At 47.6% G+C, this 23353-nt stretch overlaps 1 protein-coding gene, 1 long non-coding RNA gene and 1 pseudogene across 3 annotated transcripts, besides 8 other annotated features; 2 read left to right on the top strand and 1 right to left on the bottom strand.

Moving 5' to 3' along the window:
• Positions 1203–1304, top strand: RNU6-487P (RNA, U6 small nuclear 487, pseudogene; annotated as a pseudogene).
• Positions 8021–8616: a transcriptional cis regulatory region, noted in NCBI's record as "candidate enhancer chr1.10869 targeted for multiplex CRISPR interference". NCBI's record gives its function as "positively regulates BTG2 gene expression with high confidence in K562 cells {active_cell/tissue: K562}" and the evidence as "EXISTENCE:mutant phenotype evidence [ECO:0000015][PMID:30612741]".
• Positions 10699–14782, bottom strand: BTG2 (BTG anti-proliferation factor 2). Its single transcript, NM_006763.3, has 2 exons — positions 14553–14782; positions 10699–13197 (listed from the first exon to the last, which is right to left on the bottom strand). The coding sequence occupies exons 1-2, from the start codon at positions 14692–14694 to the stop codon at positions 12863–12865; spliced, it is 477 nt and encodes a 158-aa protein (NP_006754.1). The 5' UTR covers positions 14695–14782; the 3' UTR covers positions 10699–12862.
• Positions 11620–12562: an enhancer, noted in NCBI's record as "OCT4-NANOG-H3K27ac-H3K4me1 hESC enhancer chr1:203276867-203277809 (GRCh37/hg19 assembly coordinates)". NCBI's record gives its function as "activates a minimal SCP1, AML or CMV promoter by ChIP-STARR-seq in naive and primed H9 embryonic stem cells {active_cell/tissue: H9 hESC(naive and primed)}" and the evidence as "EXISTENCE:reporter gene assay evidence [ECO:0000049][PMID:30033119]".
• Positions 12563–13505: an enhancer, noted in NCBI's record as "OCT4-NANOG-H3K27ac-H3K4me1 hESC enhancer chr1:203275924-203276866 (GRCh37/hg19 assembly coordinates)". NCBI's record gives its function as "activates a minimal SCP1, AML or CMV promoter by ChIP-STARR-seq in naive H9 embryonic stem cells {active_cell/tissue: H9 hESC(naive)}" and the evidence as "EXISTENCE:reporter gene assay evidence [ECO:0000049][PMID:30033119]".
• Positions 12907–13146: an enhancer, noted in NCBI's record as "active region_2346". NCBI's record gives its function as "activates an Ori minimal core promoter by ATAC-STARR-seq in GM12878 lymphoblastoid cells {active_cell/tissue: GM12878}" and the evidence as "EXISTENCE:reporter gene assay evidence [ECO:0000049][PMID:35858748]".
• Positions 13857–13996: an enhancer, noted in NCBI's record as "active region_2345". NCBI's record gives its function as "activates an Ori minimal core promoter by ATAC-STARR-seq in GM12878 lymphoblastoid cells {active_cell/tissue: GM12878}" and the evidence as "EXISTENCE:reporter gene assay evidence [ECO:0000049][PMID:35858748]".
• Positions 14777–15056: a silencer, noted in NCBI's record as "silent region_1719". NCBI's record gives its function as "represses an Ori minimal core promoter by ATAC-STARR-seq in GM12878 lymphoblastoid cells {active_cell/tissue: GM12878}" and the evidence as "EXISTENCE:reporter gene assay evidence [ECO:0000049][PMID:35858748]".
• BTG2-DT (BTG2 divergent transcript) lies at positions 14976–21543 on the top strand. 2 transcript variants are annotated; one of them, NR_034151.1, is made up of 4 exons: positions 14976–15448; positions 15596–15781; positions 19020–19211; positions 19654–21543. It is a non-coding gene; the product is annotated as a BTG2 divergent transcript (long non-coding RNA). The 2 variants fall into 2 exon arrangements; NR_034150.1 differs by lacking the exon at positions 15596–15781.
• Positions 15167–15286: an enhancer, noted in NCBI's record as "active region_2344". NCBI's record gives its function as "activates an Ori minimal core promoter by ATAC-STARR-seq in GM12878 lymphoblastoid cells {active_cell/tissue: GM12878}" and the evidence as "EXISTENCE:reporter gene assay evidence [ECO:0000049][PMID:35858748]".
• Positions 20912–21116: a silencer, noted in NCBI's record as "fragment chr1:203268313-203268517 (GRCh37/hg19 assembly coordinates)". NCBI's record gives its function as "represses an EF-1alpha promoter that drives an FKBP-Casp9 reporter gene in an ReSE screen in K562 erythroleukemia cells {active_cell/tissue: K562}" and the evidence as "EXISTENCE:reporter gene assay evidence [ECO:0000049][PMID:32094911]".

Genomic DNA, 23353 nt, shown 5'->3' with positions numbered 1-23353 from the left:
CCACAGCTACCTGAGGACCACACTGTAGTTTGTTCAACCCGTATCTGTCATCCAATGGTCAGTGTACTTAGGCCTGCTCCGTGCAGAATGGTAGACAAGCACATGGAGGTGAAAAAGGAAATAGAAATGATTCCTGCCATGGAGGTGTGAGTGACGACAGTTGGAGAGGGGAGAAGGGCTTGCAGAGCCACCAGACGTCAACTCAAAGCAATGTGCTGCCGGGCCCGGTGGCTCACGCCTGTAATCCCAGCACTTTGGGAGGCCGAGGCCAGCAGATCACTTGAGGTCAGGAGTTTGAGACCAACCTGGCCATTGTGTTGAAGCTCTGTCTCTACTAAAAATACAAAAGTTAGCCCGGTGTGATGGCACGTGCCTGTAATCCCAGCTACTTGGGAGGCTGAGGCAGGAGAATGGCTTGAACTGGGGAGGCAGAGGTTGCAGTGAACCAAGATCACACCACTGCACTCCAGCCTGGGTGAAGGAGCGAGACTCCATCACACACAGACACCCACACACACACACACACAGAGCAATGTGCTGACTGTGTTTGCTATAAAAGTGTGAACAGTAATAAACTATGTGTATACATCCTTAAGGAGTTCTGAAGTAAGAAATATGTCATAAAGATGTGAGCAGTTTTAAACCATATGCATGAATGCTGGAAACCCCTGAGGTAAGAATGTATATAGAGGACAAGTGGAATTATTCAGGGAAGGCATCCTGAAGAGGCAGTGGTAAGGGAAAACAGCATTGATGCTGGAGACAGGCGCACATAGGTTTTAAACCCATTTCCACCACTGCCCTCTTCTAGTTACTGGTGCCTTGCTTTCTTCATCCGTGAATCTGAGGTCATAAGATCTCAGAGACTGCATTCAAAAAAACAGTAGAGATACTGTGTGTAAAATACCAGGCGGAGTCCCTGGCAATAGTGAGTGTTCAGCACACAGTAGGTGCTCACATCCTAGAAGAAAGTGATTTGTGCCACATCAATTGGCAGAGTACAGAAACTTGCAGATGTCAGCAGAGCTGCAAGGAAAGGTGAGCAGGAGAGAATTCGGTGAGGGGCTCTGGCCTGGTTGGGCTACTGCACAAGGAGTTTGGGGTTGGAAAGACTGAGAGAGCCTGGGATTCCCATCTTAGGAATACAGAATGGCAAAGAAAGTCTGCAGGAAGGGAATGGCATGATGAAAATAGAGTTTGCATGCTCGCTTCGGCAGCACATATACTAAAATTGGAACGATACGGAGATTAGCATGGCTCCTGCGCAAGGATGACACACAAATTTGTGAAGCATTCCGTATTTTTATAAATAAAAAAATTGGGAAAAAAAAAAGAAAATAGAGTTTGCGTTGTGCTAGGATGATGGTCAGTCCGGTGGTAGGGCAGGGAGGGCAGGAGGCTGTTGTATGAATGTTACGAGGACAAGACCTGGGTTATGTGCCGGCAGGAAATAGAGCAGAAGAAATAGGTTGTTTTTTTTTTCCTGTTCCATATGGAAACAAAAATAGAATGGTAAGAGATAATTTAGCACAGGTGACTCATTTTACAGATAGGAAAACTGAGGCTCATGAAGGAGAAAAGGTGGTGCAAGGCTGCAGCCATTGTGGATTTTTCACAAGATGATTTATAAACTAAACACTTTCCAAAAAGAAAGAAAGAAAGAAAGAAGAAGAAGAAGAAGAAGAAGAAGAAGAAGAAGAAGAAGAAGAAGAAGAAGAAGAAGAAGAAGAAGAAGAAGAAGAAGGAGGAGAGGAAGGAAGGAAGGAAGGAAGGAAGGAAGGAAGGAAGGAAGGAAGGAAGGGAAAGAAAGAAAGAAAGGAAGGAAGGAAGGAAGGAAGGAAGGAAGGAAGGAAGGAAGGAAGGAAAGAAAAAGAAAGAAAGAGAAGGAAAGGAAGAAAGAAAGGAAGAAGGAAGACAAAAACTGAGGCTCAGAGTGGAGAAGGGACTTGTTCAAGATATCGAAGACTTCTATTACAAGTTACTGTCAGCCCTGAAGCTAGGCCCCCTATTTCCTAACAACTCCTACCCCAGTGCCATTTCTGTGAGCCCCCAGCCAGCCTCCAAAGTAGACACTAGGAAGGATTTCTCTGGATAGAAATCAGCGTTTAGTAGCTGTGGAATCTATTCTCCCTCTCCTGCCACTGGGGCCAGAGTCCTTTCCTGGCATCAGCCCAGATTTCTTCTCTCCAGGTTGTTACCTTTTGGGTAAATCCATTTAGGGAGTTAATTGATAACGAAGGCTCTCTCACATTATGATTTAAGGTGTGAACACCCCTATTTAAGTGACATTTACATTTCAATAAGAGGTGTTTAAAGACCTAAAAGCCTGCAAGATTCAAAGGACCAAGTTTTCTTAAGGTGCAATCACAGGTTCCTAGGGAGTCCCAGCTCAAAATTGCTGAATGGGCTTAATTTTTTTTCTTCCACCCCTGATCTAAATTCCTTTCATCCACTAGCCTCCACTCTTGGCAACTTTGACATTCATTTGTTCAACCAGTATTCACTAATACCTACTAAGTACCAGACACTGTTCAGGCAAGGTCTCTAGTCTACATTCTAGCTATAAATTCAGGGTTATAAAACCGAACATCATGGGAACTCAGGGGAAGGCCATGTAGCCCAGTCTGTGAAGGAGAGATGTCACTGAAAAACTGTGAACTTGAAAGTGTGAACACTGAACAGTGAACATTGGAAAAGTGTGAACTTAAAAACGTGAGTGAACCTGGCTAAAGTAGGTGGAAAGGAAGGGGACAGGGCATTCCTTGAGCAAAAGCCTGGAGGCTGCCGTCCCAAGCACAAGTTTAACGGGTACCACCAGTTGAAGGTGGGGAGCGCTGCTTTTTATCTAATTTTAGGGGTGAAGAGGCCCCTTGTGTGCCCTCATTTCTATCAGGAACATGCCAGAATGCTCCTTCTTAGAGATTGTGGCCATAGGGACAGCCTTCCACTGAGGTCCTCAATGCAGAGACTCACTCCTAGCTTGGGGGATAGGGTTGAAAACCCCTACATCCCATTCCCAGGTGGCCCCAGGTACATCATAGGCCACAAGTTGAGAGCACATGCAGATATGTACTTTTAAAAAAACAGCCTTTAGCACTTTCAAAAAATTAGTTGCCATGATTAGAGTTTAGGGAAATGTCAAATAAACATCTACATTTCAGGCTGCTCTTGAAAATTACCATATCTGAAATCACTGGCCTCATGATTGCAGTGGACTGAAGCTAAGGAACAGAGGCTCTGTTCAGACAAGGTTTGAGCTCACTCCTCAAGTTTACCATGGCTTTTGTCCAGCCAGCCTCACTTATCTACTGCCTGGTCCCACCCTCACTCCCCTGCCCATCGAATTTTAAATGGCCCTTCCCTGATAGTGATGTTAAGTAAAGCAGTTCTTGCTCCAAACTCACCCAGCTATTACCTCTTCTTATCTGATATGCTCTAGGCAGCCTGTGCAGTTTACTGGACAAGAGTTGAATCAAGGTTCATTCTTGTTTATAGGAATGAGGGTGGAGAATGGCAGAGCCAATGGGAACAAAATGGCTTGAAGCTGCTGGGGCCCAGAGAACCAGGCTCACATCAGGGGAAAGGATTGGCTGCGTATCCAGGGCATACTCGTTTGTATAAGATCCTTATCCAGGGCCCTGGTAGCCTCTTAGACTGAGCTCAAACGTTTTTCTTGCCAGCTCTGCAAAGAAGTGGTGTGGAGAAAAAGCCAGAGAGCTTGGCCCTGCCCTTCTTAGCTTCTCCATTTATTTCTCTTCTGGGAAGGGAGAACCTGTGGGTGTACTCCACAGATGGGCTGAGTGGAGGTAAGTAAAGCTGCTATTAGAAAACTTTCCCCATCCACTTTGTGTGTAAATGAGCACATAGCCCAGTTTGGTATTAATCCACAAGCAGACCAGTGGAGCCAATGGGTCAAAGTTGCCCCGTGGCCCACCGAGGTCAGATGCCTAGCAAGGATACCGTACATTTCTGCAAGAATGACAGAGGTCAGACATGAGTTCATTCAGTTATCAATCATTAATTCAGCAGGTACTTTTAGAGTCCCTACTGTAGGCTACATATGACCCAGGAAGGGCTTTTGTATTGTGCATATTTTCTTTGCCACAGCCTGGGCTGTGCATGTTTTTTATTTTTATTATTTGTATTATTTGTAGAGATGTCGTCTCACTATGTTGCCTGGGCTGGTCTCAAACTCCTGGGCTCAAGTAATCCACCTGTCATGGCCTCCCAAAATGCTGGGATTATAGGCGTGAGCCTCCATGCCTGGCCTGTGCATGTTTTTTTTAATTTTTAATTTTTCTTTTTTTTTTATTTTCGAGACGGAGTCTTGCTCTGTTACCCAAGCTGGAGTGCAGTGGTACGATCTCAGCTCCCTGCAACCTCCTCCTCCCAGGTTCAAGCAATTCTCCTGCCTCAGCCTCCTGAGTAGCTGGGATGATTAGGCATGCGCCACCACGCCCGGCTAATTTTTGTATTTTTATTAGAGACGGGATTTCACCATTTTGGCCAGGCTGGTCTCAAACTCCTGACCTTGTGATCCGCTGGCCTCGGCATCCCAAAGTGCTGGGATTACAGTCATGAGTCACCACGCCTGGCCCTGTGCATGTTTTTAAACAAAGGATTGAAAATCATCTTTGTAGGGGAGAGGCCACAGGCTGCTCGGATGGTGTTATCTGTAGCCATTCTTTTTTTCTTTCTTTTTTTTTTTTTTGAGATGGAGTCTCACTCTGTCGTCCAGGCTGGAGTGCACTGGTGAGGTCTCAGCTCACTGCAACCTCCACCTCCCAGGTTCAAGAGATTCTCCTGCCTCAGCCTCCTGAGTAGCTGGGATGACAGGTGCGTGCCACCACCCAGCTAATTTTTGTATTTTTAGTAGAGACGGGGTTTCACCATGTTGATCAGGCTGGTCTCGACCTCCTGACCTCATGATCCATCAGCCTTGGCCTCCCAAAGTGCTAGGATTACAGGCGTGAGCCACCATACTCAGCCAGCTGTAGCCATTCTTGAAGGTACTAGTAGGTGCTATGATTTTAAGAATGATTTCCTTCCAGTTAGAAGTATGCCAGAGTGTTCTTCTTCATTTTAGGATCTTTCACTTTAGGACCCTCTTCAGAGTCCTTAAGGAGATGGGGTTATTTCTATTCTCAGGCCGGGCATGGTGGCTCACGCCTGTAATCCTAGCACTTTGGGAGGCTGAGGTGGGTGGATTACCTGAGTCAGGAGTTCGATTCCAGCCTGGCCAACATGGTGAAACCCCATCTCTACTTAAAATATAAAAATTAGCTGGGCATAGTTGCAGCACCTGTAATCCCAGCTATTCAGGAGGCTGAGGCAGGAGAATCTCTCTTTTTTTTTTAAGGTTTTTTTTTATTATTATACTTTAAGTTCTAGGGTACATGTGCACAACGTGCAGGTTTGTTATATAAGTATACATGTGCTATGTTGGTTTGCTGCACCCATCAACTCATCTTTTACATTAGGTATTTTTCCTAATGCTATCCCTCCCCCAGTCCCCCACCCCCTGACAGGCCCCAGTGTGTGATGTTCCCTACCCTGTGTCCAAGTGATCTCATTGTTCAGTTCCCACCTATGAGTGAGAACATGCGGTGTTTGGCTTCCTGTCCTTGTGACAGTTTGCTGAGAATGATAGTTCCCAGCTTCATCCATGTCTCTGCAAAGGACATGAATTCATCCTTTTTTATGGCTGCATAGTATTCCATGGTGTATATGTGCCACATTTTCTTAATCCAGTCTATCATTGATGCACATTTGGGTTGGTTCCAAGTCTTTGCTATTGTGAACAGTGCCGCAATAAACATACATGTGCATGTGTCTTTATAGTAGCATGATTTATAATCCTTTGGGTATATACCCAGTAGTGGGATTGCTGGGTCAAATGGTAATTCTAGTTCTAGATCCTTGAGGAATCGCCACACTGTCTTCCACAATGGTTGAACTAATTTACACTCCCACCAACAGTGCAAAAGCATTCCTATTTCTCCACATCCTCTCCAGCATCTGTTGTTTCCTGACTTTATGATTGCCATTCTAACTGGCATGAGATGGTATCTCATTGTGGTTTTGATTTCCATTTCTCTGATGACCAGTGATAATGAGCATTTTTTTATGTGTCTGTTGGCTGCATAAATGTCTTCTTTTGAGACGTGTCTGTTCATATCCTTTGCCCACTTTTTGATGGGGTTTTTTCTTGTAAATTTGTTTGAGTTCTTTGTAGATTCTGGATATTAGCCCTTTGTCACATGAGTAGATTGCAAAAATTTTCTCCCATTCTGTAGGTTGCCTGTTCACTCTGATGGTAGTTTCTTTCGCTGTGCAGAAGCTCTTTAGTTTAATTAGATCCCATTTGTCTATTTTGGTTTTTGTTGCCATTGCTTTTTGTGTTTTGGTCATGAAGTCCTTGCCCATGTGAGGCAGGAGAATCTCTTGAACCGAGGTGGCAGAGGTTGCAGTGACCAGAGATCATGCCACTGCACTCCAGCCTGAGCAACAAGAACGAAACTCTGTTTCAAAAAAAAAAAAAAGAAAAGAAAAGAAAAAGAAAGAAAGAACAAGTATTCTCTTTTTATCGAGTACTTACCTGTGCCAGGACAATTATAAGTAGATTATGGCTCTCATTTAATCTTCGTAACAACATTTTTAAGTTGGTTATATTCTTCATTCCATTTTACAAAGGGGGAAATTGAGGCTTGGCTAAAGTCACTAGCCACCAGGTTGCACAGTGGATAGGTGGGTGGTAGAGCTGAGATTAAACCTCCCTAGGGAGCCTAACACCAGAGCCTGAGCTCCTAACCTCTTTGTAGTACTGCTTCACAGTGTTTGCAAACTGAAACCTTAACAGGCAGGAGTCTGACCCAAGCAAAAGATTATTAATTACTGTACTTCTCAGCCCAAATTACCTTACCTTTCAGTTCAACTAATTGAAAATAATGATAATAATGGTGCTAATTTGCCCCCCCAGTGATTGGCAGTATAATGGGGATGGATGATTTAGAATCAAAAGCTGAAAAAGGCTGGGCAAGAACCGTAATCCCAGCAGTTTGGGAGGCTAAGACAGGAGGATTACTTGACGCCAGGAGTTTGAGACCAGCCCAGGCAACATAGCAAGACCCCATCTCTAAAAAAAATAACAAAAAATTAGCCAGGAGAGGTGGCTCACACCTGTAGTCCCAGCTACTTGGGAAGCTGAGGCAGGGGGATCACCTGAGCCTCGGAGATGAAGGCCGCAGTGAGCTGTGATCATACCACTATACTACAGCCTGAGCAACAGAGTGCAACCTTGTCTCAATAAATAAATAAATAAATAAATAGCCAAAGAAAAGAACGTAGGTCATTTAATCCAAAACTCTAATTTTTTTTTTTTTTTTTTTTTTTAAACGGCGTCTCACTCTGTTGCCCGGGCTGGAGTGAGTGCAGTGGCGCAATCTTGGCTTACTGCAACCTTGGCCTCCCGGGTTCAAGTGATTCTCCTGCCTCAAGTAGCTGGGATTACATGCACCCGCCACTATGCCCAGCTAATTTTTTGTATTTTTAGTAGAGACGGGGTTTCACCATGTTGGCCGGGCTGGTCTCGAACTCCTGACCTCGTGATTCGCCCACCTCAGCCTCCCAAAATGCTGAGATTACAGGCATGAGCCACCATTCCCAGTTTTTTTTTTTTGTTTTTTAAGACGGAGTCTTGCTTTGTCGCCCAGGCTACAGTGCAGTGGCTCAATCTCGGCTACTACAACCTCTGCCTCCCGGGTTCAAGTGATTCTGTTGCCTCAGCCTCCCAAGTAGCTGGGACTACAGGCACGCACCACTACACCTGACTAATTTTTGTATTTTTAGTAGAGACAGGGTTTCACCATGTTGGCCAGGCTGGTCTTGAGCTCTTGGCCTCAAGTGATCCATCTGCCTCGGCCTCCCAAAGTGCTGGGATTACAGGCATGAGCCACTGCACCCAGCCAACTCCCTAATTTTTAAGACAGAAAAGCTGAGGAGCTTGTCCAGACTCACATGGCTAGTTAAGAAGTACCAGGACCACAACCCATACATTCTTCCTCCCAGTCCAGAACTCTTTCTGTTGCACCAATCTTTGTTGGGCCAGGGATGCTGTGTTGGCCTGGAAGCCAGGACACCTGAGTCCTCACCTTCCTTACCAAAGGCTCCTTACAGGAGTCAGGCCTACAGAAGTGGGTTTCTTCCTCCTGGGACTTGTTTGTTGCAGCACCAAGGACTCCTCCACCCAGAACTCCTTATCAGGATCCAGGATGGGCTCTTAATCTGCAGCATGCAGAGCCTTGTCTACACTCTCTGGGGAGGTGCATTATCATTCAAAAACAGCTGACTGACCACAGGTCTCCCAGGCTGGCACTGCTTACCAAGTGGAGAAGATGGAAGCAGAACAGACCAACCAATGCCTAGTCCCTGAACACATGAAAGCCACCAACTGCAACTCTTCAAGCAATTTCAGGCCAGAGCCCCTGTAACCCCAGGTAGCCAATGGGTATGCTCCAGTTCTACTGAAATTGGTTCATATCAAAAAAGAAAACACATTGCTTGACCACAGAACCCTCTCATGTAAATTGAGGGACTACTAGTTTACCAACAGCCGAGAGTGGCCCTGAGGTGAATCTGCCATGCTGTGGCTTCCCTGACTTGAAGACACACGTGGGTGAAGGGTCCCCTCAGTCTCCAGACAACCTTCCCCGAATTTCAGGCTTTCCACTAAACAAGGAAATATCCTTCATGAGCTAGGCCTTTTAGGAATCAGGAAGATAGATGCTGACTTTGTACCATACACTCAAAAGAGGGTGGGCAAAAATTCCTCAACCCTAACTAACCCTGTCCTTACATCCAAAAAAGTAGGTCTTTTTAAACAAGTGTCTAGGACATTTATTTCAGAAGCTACAAATAAAAATGGGACTACTCCTTTCAGTAACAACCCCTTGATACAATGAGTCTTAACCAAATTCTATTTATGATACAGATGACCTGGCCTTCCCTAACCCCATCCCTGGCTCCCCTACCCTCCTCACTCAACACAGGCATAGCACACACAGCCTCCCTGGGCTACTTCCAACATAGCACATCTAGGGAAAACTGTATGTTTGTTGATAAAGGTCATGGAGGTAAGAAATGAAGTTGGGGGAGTTGTCACTGTATATGAAGCAACATGTGTAAAGTTTAGTTTAAATACAGGTCACCGCCAGCTGCGGTGGCTCACACCTGTAATCCCAGCACTTTGGGAGGCCGAGGAGGGTGGATCACCTCAGGTCAGGAGTTCGAGACCATCCTGGCTAACATGGTGAAACCCCGTCTCTACTAAAAGTACAAAAATTAGCCAGGCATGGTGGCAGGCATCTGTAATCCCAGCTACTCCAGAGGCTGAGGCAGGAGAATCACTTGAACCCGGAAGGCGGAGGTTGCAGTGAGCCAAGATCGTACTACTGCACTCCAGCCTGGACGACAAGAGCGAGTGAGACTACGTCTCAAAAAAGAAAAGAAAAGAAATAAATAAATAAACAAATAAATACAGCTCACCTACAGCCAAGAAAAAACTAGACCAGGCTGGGAATGTACTTGCCCTCAGTGGGAAACTCTGGGCTTGTGTCAAAAATCTCATGGAAAGAACTCAAAAGTCAGGGAAGATAAAAACTGTTATTTCCTTGCATGTAACCAAAGGGAGTTACAAATTGGTAACAAACTTTTGGCTCTCACTCCAGTGTTTGCTGTCAGAAGTAGCTGCTCTCTAGCTAACCTGTAGCATTGGCATTCAGCTCCAGTGCATAGATCCTGAGGCCTAGCTGCTCTTGTCTAACAAGACAAGTATGGTGGATAGCAAATGACAGCCCCAGAGATGACAAGAGCACCTTTTCTGGGAATTGCCAACAATCCTGCCTTAGCCTGGGAAGGAGTTCATTACCCGCTGCTTACCAAACCCTGGTCTGTGAGACAGGCTGTGTCTCAAGGATTTTTAATAAGTTCAGTGCCTAGCACTTACTGACAATACATGCTTGCTAAATGAATAACTGACTGAATGAATGAATGAATGAAATGAACGACTATCAAAAACAAGATGCATAAGATGGAGATCTGGCTAGACTAGGGAATGTTCAGACTAGAACCCTGTTACTTCTAGCATCTTCACAGGGAAATTAGAATCCTCATTAAAGGTGGAAGTAGGTTGGGCGCGGTGGCTCACGCCTGTAATCCCAGCACTTTCGGAGGCAGAGGCAGGGGGATCACTTGAACTTAGGAGTTTGAGACCAGCCTGGACAACATGGCAAAACCCCGTCCCTACAAAAAATACAAAAATCAGCTGGGCCTGATGGCACATGCCTGCAATCTCAGCTACTCAAGAGGCAGAGGTGGGAGAATTATTTGAGCCCAGGAGGCAGAGGTTGCAATGAGCTGAGATTGCACCACTGCACTCCAGCCTGAGTGACAAAACTGTCTCAAAACAAACAAACAAACAAACAAAACGGAGGGAAGTAAGGAGCTACTTTCCAGGAAAGAGGGGATGCTTGGAAATGGCCCAGCCATACAACCAGATTTTTCTTTTATACCACCCACATGCTATAGATTGTCTGAGTGCAAGTGAGGAGAAATACTATTAAACACAAAGAAAGGATTTGGATCTGAAAGGGAAACACAAATGTACAACGTGAGGATTTTAACTTCTCTACACCACACAAGTTTATCCTACTACATTTTTATTAAAGTAACAAAAAGGTGTACATTTGTCCATAAGCTGTACATTCTTCCATATAAAAACACTATCATACAATTAGTAACCTTTGTCTTTTCTGTCAGAATAGCTTACAAACATACTACTACTATTTATTTTTACTTAATAGGAGAGACAGGCCTGCTCAACAGTCCAGCTCAGGGGTTTTGTTGTTTTTAAAGTGAACATCATAAAGAAGAGAAGAGAGACAAGATTAAGCATGAGACCATGAGGCTGCTTCTAAAAAGGCAGGGACCTGTTTGCAGACAAGATGCAAGAACACAGCCTGCAGTGATTCACAGCTTTGTTTCAACCCACAAACCAGAAAATTAGCTCTTGGGTCTGTGGGCCCAAAGTGAACTTTAAAGCAATAAAGACTGGAAGCAGGTCTGGGAAGGCAATACAAAATGTGGAGAGTTGAAAAGGAGGCAGAGCTGGCAGGAATGGGTAGGGAGAGTGTTTGGTAAATAGCACCTTTGAGTCAAAATTGAGCAGTTTAGAAATCCAGGAAAGGGGACTGGCTGTGGGGAGGAGAACCTGGGGGTAGAGGAAGTGGGGTGAAGATTCCTCACTAAGGGGCAACAGCAGGAGGGTGGCCATCCTGGCCAAATGCCCTAGCCCTGTCCTTCTTAAGGTGATTCGGTTTGGGAAACTCGAGGTCTTTTGAGGACCCCTCATCAATGTCACTGAGAAATTGAAGGAAGGGAGTTTCTTCCCAGTGTAGCTTTCCACTTTTCTCCAACCCACAACAGTATATATTGCACAAGTCTACGACAAATTTGGATTGTACTGAGACAGACAGCAACCTTTCCCACAGGTGCTCTGAGCACCAGGGAGAAAAAACAGTGCCCAAGGTTTGGCTTTTATTTAGTGTCGGCCCTACAAGAATACCAAGTAGTCTTGCAGAACATGGGGCACTCTCCCATTCAGCCAAGGAATACATGCAAGGCTGACTAGCCAGCCATCATCCCAAGGAGAGCAGGAGAGATGGTTCCCTAAGCCCACCAGGGCATCAGGAGGTTCTGATAGCCAGTTTTCCTCCAGACCCTCCTGGGACCCAGGGGGCATATTGCACAGTGACTGAGAACTCTTGTCCTAGAAAATACGGTAGCTCTATGACCCGACCAGAAGGGAAGGGGGAGGGGAGGGTTAGAGGAGAGTTGTGCTTTTGAAAAGAAGGCAGTAATAAAGGACCTGGAGTTCCCTGTAGCTTTTGAGCCACCTCTCAAAGGGATCATGGCAGCAGCATCAAGACTTTCATGTGGTTCCAAAAGGAAGAGTTTTGGCCAAAAAACATCCCCAGTGGATACTCTTTGGGTCCCAAAATTTCATTGCAAATCACCCCCAAATTATTTGCCACACATACACACAAAGCAGCACTAGCAAAGCAAAGGTTTTGTGCAGAGTTCCCTTCCATCCTAACCCCAATAACCTCCAGTTCCCTCCTCCCCCCCCTCAGAAAACCCAAAGCTTTAGATTCCTGGCTGGAAAGCAACATCTACAGGCCCCTGAGGGTAGAATTAGAAACAAGTCATGATTTCAAGAAAAGCAGCTTAGGACAGTAGGAATCAGGAGAGGCCTTTTCACTCTCTGCCCAGGACCTCATTAGAAAAATAAAAGAAAAGATAACATAGTATTGTTTAAGTCCAGGCATGAATGCCCCTGAGTAATAGAGGAGCCAGGGATGCAGGTGTCTGGCTGGGGGAGACAGAGAGCTCTGAACTTGGCCTCTCTTCCTCCCCCAGGGCAAATCCCGACCTCTCTGTTCACAGTTGCTAACCTTGCTTGCTCCCTCTCACATCTTCCTGGGGTGCTAGCCAAACGTCTCCCACTTCTCCTTGGCTAGGTCTACCCCCTAACAGCTCCCCCTCCTATAGGCAGACACTGGCTCACAGACTCAAGCACGCAACAGTTCTCTCCAAAGGCACCTGGGGAGGCCACTTCCAAGCAGCTCCCTTGAAGGATTTTTTTTCTTAAAAAAAACTTTTGGTTTCTTTTCCTCCTTTCTTAAAAAAAAATAATATATATAAATAGCTCTTCATTTAAAAATACAGTTCCCCAGGTTGAGGTATGTGGTGGCCTGTTGTCACGGCAGCATGAGCACGGCGGCGCCCAGGGCGGGGGCGGAAGGGCCTAGCTGGAGACTGCCATCACGTAGTTCTTGGAGGGGCTGCTCCGGCCCAGCAGCACTTGGTTCTTGCAGGTGAGGAGCCCACAGGAGGCGGCCAGTGGGGCCTCCTCGTACAAGACGCAGATGGAGCCGTCCTCCCCAATGCGGTAGGACACCTCATAGGGGTCCACCCACAGGGTCAGCTCGCTGGGCAGCAGCTGGTGCAGCTGGGGCTGGCTGAGTCCGATCTGGCTGGCCACCCTGCTGATGATGGGGTCCATCTTGTGGTTGATGCGAATGCAGCGGTAGCCGGAGCCCTTGGACGGCTTTTCGGGAAACCAGTGGTGTTTGTAGTGCTCTGTGGAGACAGGACCAGGGGCAGATGCCCTGGTTAGAGCAGCTAGGCCATGGATACTACCATAGGGCGGGGTGGAGGGTCAAGGGACAGGAGGAGAGAAAGGGGCCCTTTAAGTAAGGGAGGTGGATTCCTCTGAGTTCTAGGACCCTCTTTCCACTTAGCAGAGAAAATTTTATGGAAGCTGGAAAGATCCACTTTCCTGCTTCCAGGACAAGTGTATGTGAGAGAGTGTGTGTGTGTGTGTGTGTGTGTGTGACTGAGTGTGTGTGTGTGAGAGAGAGAGTGTGTGTGTGTGTGTGTGTGCGTGTTGGGAGGGGATTCTAGAGCTCTAGGGTACTCTCTAGTGGCCAGTGTATTGCTTTTGGCACACCCCCAAAGCAAGGGAAGGGTGTGACTGGGACTGGCATGTCCAGGCAGGGCCTCTGGAGACCTGTGAGCTGAAGTTTCAGGGCCAGGAAGGCTGCCAACATTGTTGGGTCCACAGCAAGTCACTGGACCTCCCACCCTGTGTTCCCTCTGCTTCCTTCAGAAGAGTCAGAGAACCTTCCTTAGCAGTGCCTAAGGGAGTGAAAACTGGGTTGTTTTGATGAAACATCTGTTTTCCTCAGAAGGCAGGGTCTGTGTGGGTGCGTTCCGAGATGGCTATCGCTTCCCAAAACTGACAGTAACCAGCTAGAAACAGCTGGGAGAGAGGTCTCTCCCCAGCCAGCGAGCGGGCTGCTTATCTCTTCACCTCCCAACTTGAAGGCCCGCACGGCAGGGTCACGAGCTACGAGGCTCTCCTCCCTACCACAATAGGTGGCAGATGGCTAAGGGGAACCAAAGATAACACAAAGGGGGCCCAAATTCCAACTTGAAGCCAGTCAGCAACCAGTGGACTACCCCAGGCACAGCGCACCCCGACCGGCAGGAAGAACCGCACTGGGACTCCAAATTGTTGAAAAGGCTCGACTGCACCTTCTTCCCTCATCGGGACCCCTCGGCCGACCGGGCGGCCCGCAACAACATCCATCGAGGGTCTTAAGATCTCGAGGGTCCAGCGAGGGAGACGAGCCCGTAATGAGACAGGGGCATAAGCTGGGGACTCGGGCTGGCACTCCAGGACCAGGGTCTGCGCCTCCGAGAGCGTAGAGGGGCGCGCCCCATCAGAACCGCCACGGCCGAGACCCGAGCACAGGGCTGGGGAGGAGGACCCAGGAAACTGGGGACTGCGGGCCGCCCCGGGGGTCGGAGGAGGGCCACCGAGTCCCAAAGCTGCTCCCGTGGGTCACCCTGCCGCAGGAGTAGAAGAAAGACGGCCCTGGCAGGGATGGGGCCGACCCCCGGTGGCGCCAGGCCCCTCGGCATGCGCTCACCTGTGAGTGCCTCCTGGAGCGCCCCGCTGAAGACCTTAAGCCTCTGCTCGCTCACGCAGCCCCGGGTCCTCAGGAGGCTGGAGAGGAAGCCCACGGCGGCGGCGATCTCCGGGAGCATGTCGGTTCCCTTCCCGTGGCTCATGTCGCGCGCGGCTCGGGCTCAGTGAGAGGTCTCGGGTGGGAAGTGCGGGTCCACAAGACAGCGTTACCCTGGCCGCTGCTCGGGCTCTGCCCGGACTTTCCCCGGGCAGCGTTTTTCAGGAGGTCCAGGGAGGTAGGGGGGCAGCCGGCGGCGGCGCTCATTGGTCGCGGCCAGAGGATGGGGGCGGGGCCCGGAGCCGCTCCGCTCGGCCCCGCTCCGGCGCTTTTCCCCGCCCCCGCCACCCCAGCCCCCGCCCTCGCAGCCTTGGCGGCGCTGAGGTCATCGCTCGCTGTCGTCAGTGCTAGGAACCTGCGCCCGGCTGAGCTGAGCGAGGCGAGAGGAGAAAGCGAGGCCCGGGGACGGGACTGAGAGCTCTGAAAGGAGGGAGGCGGCTCCCGAGTACTCCGCGCGGGGCAGGCCCCGGCCTCGCCTCTTCGCCCATTTTTAAGGCTCGAGTTAGAGGCCACCTCCTCCGAGAAGCCTTCGGTGACACCACCTCTCCCAGACGGTTCCCCTTTCTGATTCCCACAGCATTTTCCAACCATTCACGGTCAGAACCACTCACCAGGACGTGTTGTCACCATTTTACCGCTTTGCCTCGTCTCTTAACTAGACGAAATGGGTTCCTTTTGGCTCTTTGGAAAGGGAGGCTGTCTTCTATTTATTTCCGTGGTAATCCCACCTCCCACAACAAGTTCCATTCTACAGCAATGTCTTTTCTCTTGCTGAGAACCATTCAAGTCTAAGTTTTCTGGTGGGTAGGGGTAGGGGGTGTGTTGCAAGACTTTTGTCTTCTCAACTTATTTTTCTAGTTCTCACTTTCCTTAAGTGCTAATTTTTTTGAATTAGTGGTCTGCTCTCAACTGTACGTATTTTTCCGTCCACTCCCTCCTTCCCCCAGCCGTCTTCCTTCCTCATTGTGGTTTGGACCTTCTCGAGAAAGAATCTGGCCTCAGTCTCCCTCTTCCACACTCAGGGACCGCCACCATCACAGGCACTCGGTAGATGTCTGCTGAATGAGGATAACTTCTACCCAACACCGTGAAGCCTGGCCCAGGGTCTGGCATACAGATGCCGTGTTTGTAAGGTGACTAAAACCCAGTGGCCTCTGTAAATTCCTATTTTCCTTGGACTCTGAGCCCTCTGACCACCTTCTGGAAGCCGTGTCCCTGTCTTTTTTCCTTGTGCCCCAGGCTTCTCCACCCCCCTGTCTGGCTGTGCTGCCCCTGGATCCCTTCGTGCCCCGTTCCCCGCACTATGTCTCCTCAGTCCTCCTCCCTTTTCTCTAGGCTGCCTTTCCTTGGAGAGGTCCTATGCATGTAGCCTGTCTTGATGTTTACTGTTTTACAGTGGCTTTTCTCATCTGCATAGTCTGTCCTCCTGTCTTTCCATCCTGCTCCTGTTCCCACCGGCTCTGTCCTCTCCCTCAGATGTCCAGCCACCACCTCAATGTCAGCCGAAGCCCAGTGTCTCTCCAAAGCTCTTGATCTCCATTTCTGTCAGCGATACCATCATTTCCCAGTCACTCCGTCCAGAAAGGTCAGCCCCTCCTTGTACTTTGCTCCCTAAATCCAGTCCCCAAATCGGCTGCTTCTTACTATCTAGATGGTTGCAGTGGATTCTATCCAGTCCCATCCCCAGACCACCCTTCCCACTGTTAGTGGAGTTCCCTTCCTAAAAGACTTCATTCCCTAGCTCTTCTCTTGCTCAGGTCATTCTGAAACATCCCCTCCCCCATTCGTCTACTAAATCAAGTCCAGACTCCTTTGCCTAATGTTTAAGACCCTTCATAATTTAGCCCCATCTGCCTTTTTAGGTTGCTGCTACTTTGTGCTCCAGGGTCACTCTTCTCACTGCCCTCTAAGTATCAGCAAATCTACAGCCTGGATCCCTCAACAGCTTGCCCATGATCCCCATCTCTGCCCTGTAACGTGGTCCCCATTCCATGCATGCCTGAACATGCGTGACCCTGCTGCTCCGTGGCTCATGTCCTTATCTCCTGCATACATCATTGTCTATACCACGCCCCACCCCTGCCTCAATCTCTCACACTACTGAAGGTACAGTGTAATCTTGGTCTTCCACCTTGAAAACCTATGCTGACCATTCTCTCGAGGCTGAGTTAGTCATCCATACCATTCTTTGGGCATTCATAATCTATCATTTGGTATTGTTAGTGATCTTTTTAGAGATTCAACCAGAGCTTGCAAGTTAATTGAAAACAGGTTACTATGCTCACATGTCCCACATTTCTGGAACAATTCAGAATTCAAATATTTTGCTCTACTGCTTCATATAACAAATAAAAATGACCCAAAATTCTAATAGTTTGGCATTAAACATATCTCTTAGATGGCCTCTTTCACCGGCTTCTCCCCAAATGCTGGATCAGGCCAGATGAGGCCATTACTTCTGCTCACTGAGGGGAAAGAATTATTTGTTACAGGAAACAGGGCTGACCCTGGAAACAAGATAACTTAGAGATATACCCAGCCATGGAGACCAGGTGTCAGCAAGGCCGGAACTGACCAAGGTCAACCACCAAGGAAGTCAGGGAAATAGGTCAAGATATAGACAGCTATATAGGGTTGTTCAGCACCTAAATGTGAAAACGCTGAACATCTTCCTGGGTATGTCTTTGACAGGTGTGAGTTGTAGGAGATGCCTAACATCTCTTGCAACTGAACTGCTGAAAAAAATCTTATGGTAGCCCCTCGACTGTTTTTTGCTTCAGAAAATAGAATTCTGTCCTTATGTAGATTTTTCTGTCCCACACCAGGCCACATAGTGAATTCTCAAGAGAGCCAGGACTGGGACCAAATTTTCTGACTTCAAGTATGGGGCCTTTTCATTAGACTGTTGGGCCCCTCTGCTGCTGTTGCATGGGCCGTGGTCCGACAGAGCTGTCATTGCAGGCGATGATGCAGTGAATGGGACAGGAGCCAGGAGGCTGGAACCCCTCGTCTCCACCATTACCCAGGGTGTGCCTTGGCCTCGTCATTGGTGATTAGTTTGTGAACTTTGTGTAGGGCAGAGATGATCCATAAATACCAGAAGGCAGTCCCACTGCTCTCTCTTTTTTTTTTTTTTTTTTTTTTTGAGACAGGGTCTCACTCTGTCATCAGGCTGGAGTGCAGTGGCGCGATCTTGGCTCACTGCAACCTCTGCCTCCCGGGCTCAAGCGATTCTCCTGCCTCAGCCTCCCGAGTAGCTGGGACTGCAGGCATGCACCACCATGCCCAGCTATTTTTGTATTTTTAGTAGAGGTGGGGTTTCATCACGTTGGTCAGGATGGTCTTGATCTCTTGACCTCGTGATCCACCCACCTTGGCTTCCCAAAGTGCTGGGATTACAGGCATGAGCCATTGTGCCCAGCCTCTCCTCTTTTCTTTCTATACACAAGCCTAGGGAGAGGAAACTTAATGTATCTCACATTCAAAGTTCCCAAGTCAATATACAGTGTAGCCGGGTGTGGTGGCTCACACCTGTAATCCCAGGACTTTCAGAGGCTCAGGCAGACTGATCACTTGAGGACAGGAGTTTGAGACCAGCCTGGCCAACACGGCAAAACCCAGTCTCTACTAAAAATACAAAAAAAAAAAAAAAAAAAAAAAAAATTAGCTGGGTGTGGTGGCGGATGCCCGTAATCCCAGCTACTCCAGAGGCTCAGGCAAGAGAATCGCTTGAACCTGGGAGGCAGAGATTGCAGTGAGCCGAGATCACGACATTGCACTCCATCCTGGGCAACAGAGTGAGACTCCATCTCAAAAAGTAAAAAATAAAAAATAATTTAAAAAAAATATATATATACACACAGTGTAATTGTACTCAACTCTGGATTTAGGTTCTCAATCAATTTCTGAATACATTATAGCAGTCCCAATTGTTTTTGAAATTTCCTGAAACTACTCTTATATTGCTAGGACCAGAATCCTTAGAAACTCTAAAAGTCAAGATATCACCCCTGCTTTTTCTCTTTGCATGTTGCCTGTTGCTTCCCATTCCTTGGTATAATCAAGGTGCTGTTTGAGCAGCAAGATAAGGAGAGTGGGTTTCCTCTCCCTCCCCACCTGTCCTTCCTGCTTCTCCTTCTCCCTTCCTGCCCTTCCTCCTCCTCTTCCTCCTCATTCTTCTCTACCTCCCTCCACTCCCACCCAAGGGTCTTGGGTTGAATTTTGAACTTTAAATGTTGACTTGTGCTGACCAGTGACTTCACCCACTGAAGAGGGGGAATGGGGTGATGGAAGTGAGGGTGGACTTCATTTATGCCTCATCTGGACCAGAATTTCTGTCCCATGTGACCTCAGACCTATTGGTTCCTCTAGTCCTGGTTGCTCATCTCGCCCACTTGCACAGCCCACCTGTGTGGCCGACTCAGGATTGACCCACCTGCTCTCTTCAGGCCATATTCCCACGCAGAAGTGGGTCCCACTCCTCAGGCCTCTGTGCTGGCCCCGTCTGTGGGGTTAGCAAGCAGCCCTGCTCTCCATTTCCAGCTCAGAAGCAACTGGATCGTTGTAAGTGATTTCTATCTTTCCCAGCGCCCTGTTGGGCCTGTGGGGACTTGGCTTGGTTGGCTCAATTTTCTGAGTACAAGTAGAAACCTGAGGTTGAGTGAGGCAGGCAGTGGCTGGGCTGAGATATTGTAGGAGGGTAATATCAGGTCATTTCTCCACCATGCAGAGTGTAGTTTTTGTTGGTCTGTGTGTCGGTGTGGTTAGGGAGGTATTAGTATGTATATTTGAGTGAGCATACATACTTAGATTGCATGTGGGCTCTGATGTTTGTGGGTAGCAGGGGATATGGATATGTGTTCACTATGTTAGTAAGCACATATAATGGTATCTGTTGAAGAAAGTCGTCTTGTGAAATGTGGGTGTTATGGTAGAGTGTACATTTTGGTGGAGTATGTCTGAGTGTAGCTGGTGCAAATACTAATTTGATCTTTCCTCTTTACAGACCTCATTGGTGACAACTTGACTGTGCTGCCCAGAGCTGATAAGAAACATCACCCGGGGAAGACCAGCTGCCTCTTCCTTGCTTCCTAATCAGGGTGGAAATACTGCTAAATATATCACAACTCTTTGCAAGCATCGTTGGGTAATGATCGGGACATCTTTGTGGGTTCCCTATCATTTTCTCACAAAGTTGAGCCTTTCAAGGTCAGTTCTAGGCCAGCCAGTCTGGGAGTCATTCTTTAGAATCAGAAGAGAATTTAAGAAGAGGAGAAGATAAGATTGTCTCTAAAACCTGCTAATGAGAACTACAGGAAGGTGGGGATGCTAGCTACTTTTAATATTTCTGGTTTGAACCCCTTCCTCCACCCCAGAATGAACTGAGAGTAGGTACAGAAATAGATAATGCAAAGACGGTTAGGGTTGAGGGTAAGCAGAAAACTACCCATCTAGACCGAAGGAAGGCTTGCTAACATATCAGTAAGCAAACAGCTTTCTAATCTGCAGGTAACAAGTTTTACATCCCTGAGGACACTTTTTGAGATAGGACTTTGTTTGTTTGTTTGTTTGTTGTTTTTTGTTTTTTTGAGACAGAGTCTCGCTCTGTCTCCCAGGCTGGAGTGCAGTGGCATGGTCTCGGCTCACTGCAACCTTCACCTCCCAGGATCAAACGATTCTCCTGCCTCAGCCTCCTGAATAGCTGGGATTACAGGTGCATGCCACCATGTCCAGCTATTTTTGTGTGTGTGTGTGTGTGTGTGTGTGTGTGTGTATTTTTAGTAGAGATGGGGTTTCATCATGTTGGTCAGGCTGGTCTGAAACTCCTGACCTCGTGATCTGCCCTCCTCAGCCTCCCAAAGTGCTGGGATTATAGGCGTGAGCCACCGGGCCCAGCCTGGGGCTTTTTGAGACCCTATTGAAGGCTGAGGAAGAATCTGGAAGCTAAAGAGTAACCCATTCCACCACCTGCTCTGAAGATAGAAGAAGCAAAAAAAGATTAAATTGTACAAAAAGCACTTAAATTAGACAACAGAAGAATTTCCTGATACAAAGTGGGTGTCTAAGATGTGTTAAACAAGATGCCTGCTCCAGCCAGGACTCAGACACTCCTGGATGGAGAGCATCTTCACAGTTTGGGATAAAAGTGACTATACAGAGTGGTGGAGTGAAGGCTGCAGGCCCCTCCCCAAGGTGGCATCTAACCCCGGAGGTATCAGGACCTCAGAGGCTACCCACATGATTTCCAGCTGATGAGCAGAAATAGCTGTGGCAGGTGCAGGCTTCACTTGCTGCCACCAACATGGGAGCTCACCAAACACCCAGTGGCCAAAAGAACCAGGGTCTCTCTAAGCCCTGGGCTCACCGCCAGGCAAGCTTGGGTGCTTGGGAGGGCCGTCGTTCTTCACAGTGCAGCCCCTGGATTTCTTCTCAATTTACTCAACTCTCTCTCTTGAATCCCATCTGTGCAGCTTAGAAGTCACAAATTAGAACCCCCCAAGGCAAAGCTGACCATAGATACAAATGGTTTTGTCTGTATAGTGTTTAAGCACTTAAAAAATTCATTGTGAACATTTAATAATTAGAAAGTGTCAAAATGAAAATATCTATAGTTTCTCTCTAAAAACCAGAAGATCTGTTAACACTGATCCCACACTTCTATTTGGCAATGACTGGCCCCTAAGACAGGGGGTATGTCCTCTAGCTCACCACAGTCTCCACCTTTACCTACTGCATCCCTGCTGAGACAAAGTGGTACATGCCATTTATTAAGGATGAATGCTGTTTTTTTTAATTATACTTAATCCTCATTTGCATTACCTGCCTTCATTCTGGAGGTATTTGAGTTTGCATCTCCTGATAAAGAATAAATCTCAAAATTGTCATCTCTAACTTCACCTTTATTACAGAGCTTCCAATTCATTTTTTTCCAACTGAGAGCTGGACATCTTTGGAGCATTTTTCTGGTGTTTCAGTCTCAACATGTAACAGATCAAAGATACTTCTCTCCCATCTTCCTTGTTTCTTAGTTCTTTCTCTCTCTCCTTAGTATTACCCTTCTTTTTCTGCTTTAAAAACCTTCAATAGCTTCCCATTGCCTGTAGTACTAATTAAAAATCTCTCATCTGACATTCAAATGGCTGCATACCAAGGGACCTTAGGATACCCATTCAAATCACCCAGGAAGTTTGATAAAAATTCAGATCACACAGCCTCTCCCTGAGATTCTGGACCCACCCACCTCAAACTACTGAATCAGTTATTAAGTATATACATACATATCATATATATATATGTGTGTGTGTGTGTGTGTGTATATATATATATATATTTTTTTTTAGATGAAGTCTCACTCTGTCACCCAGGCTGGAGTGCAATGGCGAGATCTCGGCTCACTGCAGCCTCTGCCCCCCACCGAGTTCAAGTGATTCTCCTGCCTCAGGCTCCTGAGTAACTGGGATTACAGGTGCCTGCCACCACGCCTGGCTAATTTTTGTATTTTAAGTAGAGACGGGGTTTCACCATCTTGGCCAGGCTGGTCTTGAACTCCTGACCTCGTGATCTGCCTGCCTCAGCCTCCCAAAGTGCTGAGATTACAAGCGTGAGCCACCTCACCTGGCCTTTAGTTATTAGGTATATGAGAGGTAATTTATAGGAAGCACCTAGCATACTACCTAAGTATTATAGATGCTCAGCAAACCATATCTCATAATTGCCAACTGTCAGAAGCAGGGTTTTCAGAAATAATCTACACAAAAATTTTAATTCTTCAGATGGAGAAAAGAAAGCCATGAGATGAAAAAAAGATGTCCAAAGTTACACAGCTACTTAGTGGCAGGGCTAGGACTAGAACCTAGATCTCCCACCCAGCCTAGGGCCCTTTCCATTAGGCCAGATTCCCATCATGTGACCCTGGCTTTATTCATGTATTCACTTACTCAAGGAATATGTATTGGGTTCCCCTGGGAGCCAGCGGTGGACCATGGTGGGTTTGGGAGTTGGTATCAGCATTCCAAGTGTCTATCTGGGGGTGAGGGCTGGAGGCTGAGTGCGTGAGATGGCCACTTGGAGACACAGAGGAGCCCAGGAGCAGAATGAGTTCAGCTACTCACATAGAAGTTGATGTTTCATCAGGTGGTAGCAGGAATTTAGAGTACAGAGAAAGGCCCTAACCCTCGCAGGGCAAGATCTTTAGTCAATGAGAAAGAGCGGCCGGGAGGGCCCATGTTGATGAGACAGTGGGATAAATGAACTTCGGAGAAAGGCATGAGGAATGATGGCAGGGAAAGGCTAACATAGAGCAAGACACATTGGTCCCCACTGCCTCATTCTGAGGAGTGTTGGGTGAGGCAGAAAAACAGGCTTCTCTTGACACAGCCTGTTTGAGGGAATGCCAGGAGATGGAGAAAATGCTTGGAGGGGTGAGGATATAGGGGACTTTTCTGGGCCCAAAGGGGGCTCAATGAAAGGGTTTGGAAAGGAGGGTGGTGAGAGTTAGACTACCACAGAGCACACCCACAGTGGAATGGGGATGAGAACATGTGTCCTTCGGACAGTGACCAGCATCCATAGAGGGAGTGAGGATTTTAGTCTTGTCTGGGCCTTGGAGGTGGCAACCAAACACAGGGTTCTAGGAGAGAGGCCTGGCAACTGAGACATGAGACCCAGAGTGCTGCACAGGGCAGAGAAAGACAACCTCCAGGGAA

Source organism: Homo sapiens, chromosome 1, assembly GCF_000001405.40.
Source record: "Homo sapiens chromosome 1, GRCh38.p14 Primary Assembly".
Classification (NCBI taxonomy): domain Eukaryota; kingdom Metazoa; phylum Chordata; class Mammalia; order Primates; family Hominidae; genus Homo; species Homo sapiens.
The sequence above is the reverse complement of the archived record's forward strand: the minus strand, read 5'-3'. Positions and strand labels throughout refer to the sequence as shown.

Bases quoted from the DNA above. Each gene is read 5' to 3' on its own strand.
- BTG2 (NM_006763.3), bottom strand. From the start codon at position 14,694: ATGAGCCACGGGAAGGGAACCGACATGCTCCCGGAGATCGCCGCCGCC. The intron at 13,198-14,552 runs GTGAGCGCATGC...CTGTCTCCACAG, and splicing joins GCTCCAGGAGGCACTCACAG to AGCACTACAAACACCACTGG.